Source organism: Homo sapiens, chromosome 17, assembly GCF_000001405.40.
Source record: "Homo sapiens chromosome 17, GRCh38.p14 Primary Assembly".
NCBI lineage: Eukaryota > Metazoa > Chordata > Mammalia > Primates > Hominidae > Homo > Homo sapiens.
In genome coordinates, this window is record NC_000017.11 from 52,917,614 (window position 1) to 52,929,869 (window position 12,256).

A 12,256-nucleotide genomic window follows, 5' to 3' on the forward strand; every position below is an offset into this window, starting at 1 on the left:
ATGACTGTTGCAGAAGTTTTGAGAAGTGATGTGATTCATGGGAACAAGATTTTCTTATGCTGTTCTCATGATAGTAAATAAATCTCATGAGATCTGATGATTTTAAAAGGGAGAGTTTTCCTGCACAAGCTCTCTCTCTTTGCCAGCCACCATCCATGTAAGATGTGACTTGCTCTTCCTTGCCTTCTGTTAGATTGTGAGGCCACCCCAGCCATGTGGAAGTGTAAGTCCATTAAACCTGTTTTTCTTCCTAGGCTTGGGTATGTCCTTATCAGCAGCATGAAAATGGACTAATACAAATATGCTGAGTTAAGTCCTGGACAAGGTAAGCTTGAGACACCTATTCGATTTCCAAATACATATGTCATATGTCAAGTGAGAAGCTGGGTATATAGGTGTAAAGTTCAAGGCAGTAATCCAGTCTGGATATATAAATATGTCATGTATAAAATTTAAAGCCATGGCATAGAATCGTATACAAAGAAATAACCACAGATAACAAGTATACATGTAGAAAAGAAAAGAGGTTCAATATTAAAAGTCAGGGACATGAGGGACAATCAGCATAAAAGTCAGAGGATTTACCAGAAATACTGTTAAAAGCCAGGCAAGTGGTTGCTCTGGATGCACCAAGGAAAGGATATATCAAGGCAGAAAGAATAATAATCTATATCGAGTATAATGATAGCTCAGTAGAGATGATGATATGGGAGAAGAGCAGAAGGATCAGCCTAATAACATTAGATATTGAAAGTTTGTTTCCAGGACATAGGGAAGAACAACAAAAGGAACAGGGAACCTCATCTATTCAACAGTGCTCCTTAGGATTGGTTGAGGAAACCCAAAACATTATCTCTGGCTCTTCCACTTTTATTTCCAACTAATCCCCTTAAAATGTTAATTTCTAATGAACATTGGCTTTTAAATCTCTTCCCTTTGCCTCATTGCCCTCTGTCACATGGCCCTTTCAGCCATGGCTGGAGTGGCTGGGATGCAGGGCACCAAATTCCTAGGCTGCACACAGCACAGGGACCCTGGATCCAGTCCAAGAAACCACTTTTTCCTCCTAGGCCTCCAAGCCTGTTTTGGGAGAGGCTACCCTGAAGACCTCTGACATGCCCTGGAGACATTTTCCCCATTGTCTTGGGGATTAACATTCATCTTTATCTACTAAATACACAGTCTTATAAATGATATAGTTTCTCTATGGGCAAGTCAGGGACAACTAATCTATTTAGCAAAATAGTAACCATGCTTAGGACCCATGATCCTCTTAGGGCATCATGAAAATATTTTCATTTCCTTTGAAATTAGAATTTATAAAATGATTAAGTCTGAGAAAGCATTTCCACATATACTGCTGATTTATTTTAAGTCAATGTAGTTGTAAAATATTTTTATACTTTTTTAAATAGTGGAATGCACCTTGAAGAAAAATGTGCCTGTGGCCAATTATTTCATAATTTGCCCCTGGGGCCATACGTATATTGCCCCATAGTGAAGCAATGTTGAAATGGAGGTTTATTCAAGACATTTCCCTCCTTCAAATCCTTCCAAGGAAAAATGTCTCATATTTAGTTAGAACTAACTCTTTAGCTTTCAAATGGCCTTTCTAAATCTTTCCTCTAACTAGGATTCGAGATTTTTTTTTTCTTGTAGAGATGGAGCTTCACTGTTGTTGCCCAGGCTAGAGTGCAATGGCACAATCTCAGCTCACCGCAACCTCCGCCTCCTGGGTTCAAGTGATTCTCCTGCTTCAACCTCCCAGGTAGCTGGGATTGCAGGCATGCACCACCACATCTGGCTAATTTTGTATGTTTAGTAGAAGGTGGCATTTCATCATATTGGTCAGGCTGGTCTCAAACTCCCAATCTCAGGTGATCCACCTGCCTCGGCCTCCCAAAGTGCTGGGCTTACAGGCATGAGCCACCACACCCAGCCAAGATTTTCTAATATTGCATCCTCTTCCTCCTTTCATAGTCTCTGTGCCATAACCACACAGTTGGTTTTCTTGGTGCCTGCCCTACAGTTTTCCTCTTATTTCTATTAACTAGCATCAATTTCTCTTCACCTCCCCTCTATTAACATATGTTCCTATTATACCTTTAACAGTTTAAAATCTATCCTGATACAATAAAATGTTCCATAATCATACACTACAGAAATACTGTATCTTCTGAATATCTGTAAGTTTCTCTAAAATTATATTTATTTATGTGAATATCTAAGAATGCAGAGATGGCTAATTGCTTAATTAATTTACATTGTTCTCCTTCTTCCTTATTAAAATCTACAATATGCTTCCATAAAATATATTTTTTGCTTCCCATATAACTAATTTCTGACATATAAGATTTATGTAGACATTATTGGGTGGGACTTCTAGGAATGCACCCTAAGAAGTGAATTGTTACAGTTGGTCAATTGCTTCTCGGGGTTTTGGCTAAGATCACGTGTAGTATCAGCTGGTGTGAGCCTTTCGTTCTTTGTCTTCCTGAAATACCAATTCAGTGCTTCATGTGAGTCATCTCACTTGCGACCAGGACGTGATAAGCACATGTTAAGTAAGGATGACTGAGAGGTAAAACAGGAGGAGCCTTGGTCCCAGTTGACATTGTGGAATTGTTCTGGACTCCCTAACAGCTTACCTTCGGAACTTTTTATAAAAATAAATAAATAAAATTCTCTTCTATTTTTAAGATACTGTGGGGTTGCCTTTGTTTTTTTTCCCAGTGGAGGATAACTTTTATAGTTGATCCTTGAGCAACACAAAAGTGAGGGGTTCAAACCCACAGCACAGTTAAAAATCCACATATAACTTTTGACTTCCACAAAACTTAATTATGAATAGCCTGCTGTTGACTGGAAGCCTTATCAATAACTTAAAACAGTCCATGAACACACATTTTGTATGTGTATCATGTACTGTATTTTTACAATGAAGTAAACCAGAGAAAAGACAATGTTATTAAGAAAATAATGAGATAACATATTTAAAATATATATAAATATACCTAAATTGAAATGAATCGTCATAAAAGTCTTCATCCTCGTCATCTTTACATTGAGTTGGCTCAGAAGGAGGAGAAAGAGGACGTGTTTGTTTTACTGTTGCAAGGGTGGCAGAGGCAAAAGAAAATCAGCATATAAGTGGGTCCATGCAGTTTAAACCTGCGGTGTTCAAGGGTCAATTGCACTCATATATTTACTTGTTCCTTAAATTATAAAATAGTCTAGCCTGAGTTTTCTGGGATTCATTTATGGGGTTCACCCAGTGCTTTTTAAGAGCTCAGTAACTCTTCCTTTGACAGATGAAATTAGAAATATGTATGGGCATTTAAAAATGTTTGTATAAGAACATTCTAGCATTTATGGCATGTCAAATATGAGATATTTATGTTTCATTATTTAAATCGTGAGTGTACCCACTGTAGACATTGATATATATATATATATAATATATATAATATATATAATATATATAATATAATATATATAATATAATATATATAATATATATAATGTAATATATATGATATAATATAATATAATATATATAATTAATATATATAATATAATATAATATAAATAATATATATTTTTTTGCTCAGCTTGGCTCTCTAGAATTACCCTCTGCCTCCTCATCAACATCTTACAGCAGACTCAGTCATTTTCCGATCCAACCCAATCCTCTGAGCACACCTGAGTGACTCGAGCGTGAACCTCTATTCCAAACTAGCCCAGTCAGGTTTCTTCCTCAGGCATTTTAGAGCTGGAATTGAGAAAGAAAATCCTAGACCCCTTTGGATGACTGGATATAAAGCCCCAAAACAATTAAAGGGTAAATTTGATGCTAAGTGAGCTAGAAATTTGGGGAAGGAATCTTTGTAAAGAGGCCTATGAAGCAGATGAAAGAAAGGAAAAAGAGGTAGTCCTCACATCATGGGAATGCCAGTTTCCAGTTATGCCTTTCACCTAAAAGCTTCTGTGCATTTAGATTCCACAAAACATACTACTATTTTTACAATGTCTTCCTGTGTCTATATAATTTTAATTTAAGCTTTTTGGCTTTTGTGATCCAAAACAGCCTAACTAGAATGGAAATTGTAACCAAAAGCAGAGTGCTATGAATGATAGACCAAAAACGTACAATTTGTCAATTCAAGACATGATACTGTTGTAGGAAAAAGCAGGTTCTTGTCACACAACCAGGAAAAGTTAGGCACACAGATATATTGAAGGGTGAGGGGGAATGGAATTTATTGGGAAAAAAAGGGGGAAAAAATCTCTGTAAAGCAAGAGAGGTTCCTGTTAACAGGCCCTCATCTCACAGGTTGAATCCCAGGTCACCACCGAGGAACAGGAGAGGCCAGGCTCCTACCCCCTGCAGATGGCACAAACTTCCCGAGGCCTCACCCCATCCCCCCAATGCACAGGTGGGCATTATTCAGAAACAATCTGTTGGGAAAGGGTGGGCTTCATCCAGGACTGTCAGACTGGTTTTTCAGCCTCCAGGCTGTTTTTTTGTTCTGTTTTTTTGAGATGGAGTCTGGCTCTGTCTCCCAGGCTGGAGTGCAGTGGCACGATCTCAGCTCACTGCAAGCTCTGCCTCCCAGATTCACACCATTCTCCTGCCTCAGCCTCCCGAGTAGCTGGGACTACAGGCGCCCGCCACCATGCCCGGCTAATTTTTTCAATTTTTTAGTAGAGACGGCGTTTCCCCGTGTTAGCCAGGATGGTCTCGATCTCCTGACCTCATGATCCGTCCGCCTTGGCCTCCCAAAGTGCTGGGATTACAGGCGTGAGCCACCGCGCCCGGCCCAGGCTGTTTTAAGACTGAAGGTGGGGTTTTGTCGGGGCACCCTTGACTGCCTCCTGTCTTTACCATTCACCCCTTTAAAGAAGTACATCTGACTGCTGTTAGAATAAGGATAAGCACAGGTTGAAGACTGATGTTAACTGCTTATTGCTAACAGGGGATGCTCTTTTGGGAAAATGGTAGTCAGAGCTCCCTCAGAGGCCTATTTAAGGTTTCCCAGCTGAAGGAGCCATCATGAGGCTCCAGCTGTGACCGTTTGGAGTTTGATGGCCTGAAGGTAAGAAGAAACAAACCAGGTTATTAGAAAACGTGTATCAAAACAACACAAGGTGGGAGGAGGACAGCTCAAGAATCCTGAAAACTTTTACCAGTTTAGTACAGGGAGAGGGGGGCCAAAAGCCTGACTAGGAGAAAAATGTTTACCCTTTTGCCTGCATGTTAGGCTTCTGGGTTCCCTTCCCCTGAGCCAAGTCCTAAGCCAGCCAGTTTAAGGTTTGGTAAATTAACTCTTCCCAGTTTGGAGGATGCATGTGAGTGGAGCATCCCATATTACAGAGACACAATTACCTGTCAGTGAAGAAAGGACAGAGGAAGAAAAAGAAAAAATAAGCCATTTTTACAAAGGAGTCCTAGGGATTCAGGATGCATTCGAAAGGGGTAAGCTTGGCTTAATCGGCAGGAATCAGTCATACTCACCTGCGTTGTGCCTTTTAACTTCCATTATTATTTACCTTTGGATCCCTCAAATACAGTTTATTTTCCTAGGGCTTTGACCCGAAGCTTGGAATTGAGTTTGGGAAAAAGAATGTCTGCGGGGTTGCACAGACTCCTTATCATAAGCCAGGTGCTAAGATGAAGCTGTAGAATTGAGTCCTCCTCCAACAAGGGAGAGAAAAGGATGTCTTGTGTCAAAATTCTATAGTTTATTATAAACCATCTTTTGAAAATGATTAAAACAAGACAATAATTGTCTGTGAATAATAAAATGTCCAGGGTAGTTACAGTTAGAAACACAATTGACAAAGAAGTTTGGTTGTCAGTGTGGTTTACAATAACTTAACATCCTTAATTATGATTGATAGCATATACTCAGACATTAGAATTTTAGAAATCCGATACAATTTTGGAACATACATTAGTTGACCAAAATATTATTGACCAAAATATAACCTGAAGAAGACTGAACACCATTTTGGCAATCTCATGTAATTGAAGATGTCTAATAATCCTGTTTATTTCCCTTTTGGAAACTCCAAGGGCCCTCTGAAGCATCCAACAGCCAGGTATCAGGAAAGACAATTTTGAAACTGAAGTTTGATTTTGGGAACCCTTTTAAATATTTTAGAGGTTTAAAACACTTGATGTTATGAAACAGAATTCCACATTACCATAAGTTGTTTATTTTGCCAAAATGATGACTCAGATATTTAAAATGCAAAAAAACCCTTTATAATCCTGAGCATATTAGTGCCTTACGAGTACCTTGTTGTGCTTTTATTTTAATATTCACTTTGCAGGAAAACCATATAATACCCTTTGAATGAAGTCAGTATGTTCACACACAGAATTTTTGCAAGACTAATCTTTATAATCCTTCCACCTCTTGTTTGATCTTTTAGCTGTATCTTATATAATTTTTAAAAAAATTTTAACCCTAGATGAGAATTTACACCTTTTTGTAATATTTTACCAAAAACACATTTTATTATTCTTATACACCTTGCATGTAAATCTGTTTCTAGTAGTTTCAATTACATGTTACAATGGTAATGCCTAGCAATTTTTAACTTTAATGTAAAACCTGGTAAGTTGTTTTAATTATGTGCTAGGTGCAGCCAAGATTTGACCCCTTTCAGCAAAATTGGGGCATGGTTAGTTCTATATGTCCCCAAGCCTTACCAATTGTGGAGCAGGCAAGTCAAATAGTTCTCAAAACCCAGAAAGCAATATATAACCTTAAAACATTTAGCAAACCTAGCATCTGACCTGCATAATTTAGTCCACCTATTTATATTGACAACATCTGCTTTTTACCAATAATTTTTAGGCTGTTTTTATTTCTCAAAGATTAAAGTCATATGAAAGGTACCATACCATTTATCTTCCCTTTAAAAAATATTTGATCCAAGCACTTATCTTCCTTTAGGCCAATTAATTAGAGCTCTTTTTATAGGCATCACACACAGCACATATATAAGTACACACCCACCACCACGCCCAGCTAATTTTTGTATTTTTAGTAGAGATGGGGTTTCACCATGTTAATCAGGCTGGTCTTGAACTCCTTATCTCAGGTGATCCACCAGCCTCGGCATCCCAAAATGCTGGGATTACAGGCTTGAGCCACTGTGCCTGGACTGATTTTAGAATTGTCATCAATTTTTATGGACTAGATTAGGGGTCTGCACACTATAGCTCTCCTCATGGGCAAAATCCAACCCACTGCCTGTTATTGTGAATCAAGCTTATTGGGAACATTGTCTAATTTATTTACTTAAGTATTGTCTGTAACTTTTTCCACATTGCAGGGCAGAGTTGAGTAGCTGCTACAGAGACCCCTTGGCTAGCAAAACCCTGAATAATTACTATCTCTCTCTCAGAAACACTTTGCCAACCTCTGGACTAGACTGAGTAAAGCAAGCAGAAAGATCCAATTTTAAAAAGAGGTGAGGAAAATGGGACAACTTGGCTATGGAGAGAGCAAGAAGAATGCAACTGATGTGCACAAAGTTTGAAGACAAAGTTACTCAGGTATTGAAAACTTGGTCCCATTTGCTCATTAGTCTGAACACACATCTGCCCTTATGTTCAATGAGAACACATGAATAACTTAAATAAATTTCCTTTATGTGCTTAAGCTAGTTTGAAATGGATTTCTGTGCCAAGAATTCTCACTTAGATAGTGCCAACCCAATGAGCACAGAATTGGAATGTCTGATTCAGGTTATGACTGGAATACTGATTGCTTCTATAAGATAAACTTCCTTGAGATCCTCAACTATGAAGTTGTTCTAATAATAACATCTGTTTTTATCATCTTGTTTTTGTGATGGTCAAAGGAGTTTACCAATTTTAAACCATTAAACATGTACAAACTGTAGTGTAGTGATTCATCTACAGACACAGTGGAGGTAGATTCATCTACCTCCACATTCTGGAGGGTAGTCTGAATTTTTGCTCTATCACTTCTTAGCTGTCTGACTTTAAATAAATTGCTTAACTTCCCTAAGATACAGTCCCTTTTTGTGAAATATAGTTAATAAGGATCTTGTGAGGAATAGGGAACAACAAATGTAAAGTATATAGTGCCATAAAAAAGGACTTACTAATTATTAGCTGCAATTGTTATCATCCTTAGAGATACTGATTGAACAGAGATAAAGATAATACCTTTTCTCACTATGAAAAAAAGCAGGTTAAAAACATTAGTGGTTCCTGCATAAAAAGAACAATGATTCAACTATTATCCTCATTTTAATATGACCTAGCAGCCTGTGGTCCAAAGTAGGTAGGTTACCTGTCTCTATGCATAGTGAGTACTGGCCTGGTATAAAAACATCTTTCAGTAAAACATTGTGAAATAAAATACTTTTGCTATGGTACATACATTGCATTTTTGAAACACATGTGAATTTGCTGTCGTATTAAGTTGATCCTCTACTTTTTCTGTTTATACAATGAGTTGCTAAAAGTAAGATATGTCTGAGATAAAAAAAAAGACAGCATGAAGTTTAAGGCATGGTCCCACTTGTTACATTATACTAAAGCATTTCAAGGTTTGTTTAAATAAATAGTCACTGGAGCTGAATATCACTTTGGCTTACTGCATTATTCCTATCTCAATAATCTTTATGGTTCCCATACCAGGACTGTATGGATTTCATATGCAAAATAATTCATTAATGAGAAGGTGTTTTATTTTTCTTCTTTATTATGAAAAGAGACTATCTCAAGCTACTTGCTCAGAAGGAGGTTTTAAAAACCAACTTGGAAATATTCAGTGTCATTGTATTTACTGCTAGAATTCCAATAAAATAAATATTAATTTATGGAACCAACTTGCTGCATTTAAATTTAGAAGAGATAGCATTCAAACTAGGAGAAACAAACAATAAAACAGAATAACATAGTGATAATAAAAATATAATGATTTACAATTGTACATGCTTAAAATTGGAAATATGCATAGAACAGGATGTGGCTTGATTTTAGAAAACCAAGGAGATTTTAGACAACAGAATTAAACTGAGATGATGAATTTGTATTATTCTCCTTACTCTTTAAGTTTGATGGGTGGTGAAGAATATCATTATTGTCTGTTATCTGTTAGAGCCTCAGCTTAACAGATTTTTTCATTTTTCCATTGTAACAGTTTAGATCAGGGGTCCACAACCCCCAGCCATGGACCAGTACTGATTTGTGGCCTGTTAGGAACTCAGTTGCAGTAGGAGGTGAATGCCAGGTGAGTGAGGGAAGCTTCAACTTTATTTAAAGTCACTCCGCATTGCTCTTGTTACCACCTGAGCTCCACCTTCTGTCACATCAGCTGCATTAGATTCTCATAGGAATGTAAACCCTATAGTGAACTGCACTTGCAAGGGTTGCATGCACCTTTTGAGAATCTAATGCCTAATGATCTGTCACAGTCTCCCATCATCTCCAGATGGAACTGTGCAGTTGCAGGAAAACAAGCTCAGGGCTCCTGCTGATTCTACATTATGGTGAGTTGTATAATTATTTCATTATATATTGCAATGTAATAATAATAGAAATAAAGTGCACAATAAATATAATGCACTCGAATTATCCCAAAACCATTACCCCCACTGCGCCCAGTCTGTGGAAAAATTGTCTTCCATGAAACCAGTCCCTGGTGCCAAAAAGTCTGGGGGCTGCTGATTTAGATCACATTGGTTTCAAGTAATGGGGATTAAACTAAGTAAGCCAAAGGAGAGCATTTATTTTAAATATACATGAATATAATATTAACCCCAAAGAGAAGGGAAGACAAGAAAACAGCAACTGAAAAGTCTTCAGAATTTTATTCTTCAATTATATATTCCTCTGAGAATTTGTGTCATTTGTCACTGTCATTGCCATCACTGTTCTCTGAAGACTGACTGTCTTGCTATTTATTTTGTAAAAATATGGCTTCCTAATATACTTCTTTTCATATTGAGATGAGAGGTTTTCCTGACTACCCCTCTTGCAGAACATGTGACAGGGATATGGTTCACCTGTTCAGCCTCCGTGTGCACTCAAACCCTTTACAAGAAGGGGAGCACAGACATGGGTAAGGTGCAGGAGCTGGGGAAAGTGCCCCAGTGCTCCTGGGTTCCAGCCCTGTGGCAGCATCCAGGAGTGGGAGCCCATGACCCCCAAAGCCCACGTGGGCATGTGTTACAGGGTGTTTTTTTAGCCTTACTTTCTGTGGACAGCTTAAGTGTTAAACAGCTCAGTGCCTTCTTGGTACCCAGGTCCTTGTCCAGCATCCAAGAAGAATTGGGTTACAAATGGACTTAAAGGATGAATGTGGTGGTTTTACTCAGTGCTGGAGGTGACTCTCAGCAGGATGGATGGGGAGATGGAAGGGGGTTGGAGTGGAAAGATGATCTTCACCTGGAGTTTGGCCATGGAGCCGCCAATCTCCTCTCTGATCATCCCCAGCGAAACTCCTCTTGGTATTCAGCCACTCCTTCTCTTCTTTCCTTCTCTGCCATGCTGTTCTGCAATTCTTCGATTTTCTGTTCATCTCCTCATCTGCTTCTGGAGCCTGGGGTCTGGGGTTTATATGGGTACAGGATAGGGGGGTGTGTTGGGTCAGAAGGCAACTTTTGGATGCAAAAACAGAAATGCCTCTTCTCACTTCAGGCCACGGGTTTTCAGGCTTGAGGGTGGTGCCTTTTCTGAGGAACTGCCCTCTTTTACACAGTATTTCCTCTCTCCTGTCCGTGTCAACATGCAGACACTGAAGAGCTATAAAATCCACGTACAAATGTCTGGAAGAGAGAATATTGTTGGCCTATCTTGAGTTGGTGTCTGTTTCCTTGGGTATTCAATGAAAACTGAGTGACAAAGTATAATTCTGGCTACCAGGAGCTAGCCCTGTGAATCAGAAATCCATTAAAAGTGTTTAACAGAAACTGGGCAAACGCTTCCCTCCTCCACATCAAAAATAAATTGGAACCTTTGGCAGAAACCTAGTGTACTCATTAACTATCACCCGCACCCTGGGCACATAGAGTAAAACACTACTCCTTCCACAACAAAGAGGATTAATTTTCCCGTATTAAAAGATGTATCCTTTTCCAGCAAAGCTCTGAAGCCTACACACTCAAAGGTCAGACACATAATGTAGTTGAGGACCTAGTTGAAGAATGCCTGATATCAATCATATGGGCAATTAGGAGGAGAAGGAGGATGGTGTATACATGGGAGCTCAAAGGGGCCTGCAGGTAGGAGATAGCCTGTCCTGAGCTCTAGCCAACTATTGCCCTCCAGGAATGCAAGCTGTGTCACCAGACCTTCCGATTTTTCTGGAGACTCCTGGATTCAGATCCTTACATTAAATTTTTCTATTTAAAAATGATAGGAAATCATTCAAATAAAAGTTATTAGGTGTGAAAGGAAAATAAATATTAAAGCCCCCAAACACTAAGCTAAAATGAAAGTCAAGCTGGGAACTGCCTAGGGGCAAACCTGCCTCCTATTCTATTCAAAGTCATCCCTCTGCTCACTGAGATAAATGCGTATCTGATTGCCTCCTTTGGAAAGGTTAATCAGAAACTCAAAAGAATGCAACCATTTGTCTCTTACCTACCTAGAATCTGGAGGCCCCCTTCTGAAACAAGCCAATTGTCATCTTACATATATTGATTGATGTCTCTTGTCTCCCTAAAATGTATAAAACTGGGACGTGCACAGTGGCTCACGCCGGTAATCCCAGCACTTCGGGAGACCAAGGTGAGTGGATCACCTGAGGTCAGAAGTTTGAGACCAGCCTGGCCAACATGGGAAAACCCCGTCTCTACTAAAAATACAAAAATTAGCCAGGTGTGGCGGCGGGCGCCTGTAGTCTCAGCTACTTGGGAGGCTGTGGCAGGAGAATCACTTGAACCTAGAAGGTGGAGGTTGCAGTGAGCCGAGATCACACCACTGCACTCCAGCCAAGGTGACAGAGTGAGACTCCGTCTCAAAAAAAAAAAAAAAAAAGTATAAAACTAAGCTTTGCATCGACCACCTTGGGCACAAGTCGTCAGGACCTGCTCAGACAGTATCATAGGTGCACATCCTTAACTTTGGAAAAATGAACTTCCTAAATTGACTGTGACCTGTCCCAGATATTCAGGGTTCACATAGGTAAACAATAATATGTTTGGGACCTGAACGTATCTCAGTGCCACTAGTTTTTGAACTCTGATCTACATGCTTATTAAG

At 39.0% G+C, this 12,256-nt stretch overlaps 1 long non-coding RNA gene across 2 annotated transcripts; it reads left to right on the plus strand.

Annotated features, from left to right (window-relative positions):
- Positions 1–253: 253 nt before the first annotated feature.
- LOC107984983 (uncharacterized) lies at positions 254–12,031 on the plus strand. 2 transcript variants are annotated; one of them, XR_001753058.2, is made up of 3 exons: positions 254–325; positions 7,420–7,570; positions 9,192–12,031. It is a non-coding gene; the product is annotated as an uncharacterized LOC107984983 (long non-coding RNA). The 2 variants fall into 2 exon arrangements; XR_001753059.2 differs by lacking the exon at positions 254–325 and adding an exon at positions 4,351–4,436.
- The last annotated feature ends 225 nt before the right edge of the window (positions 12,032–12,256 follow it).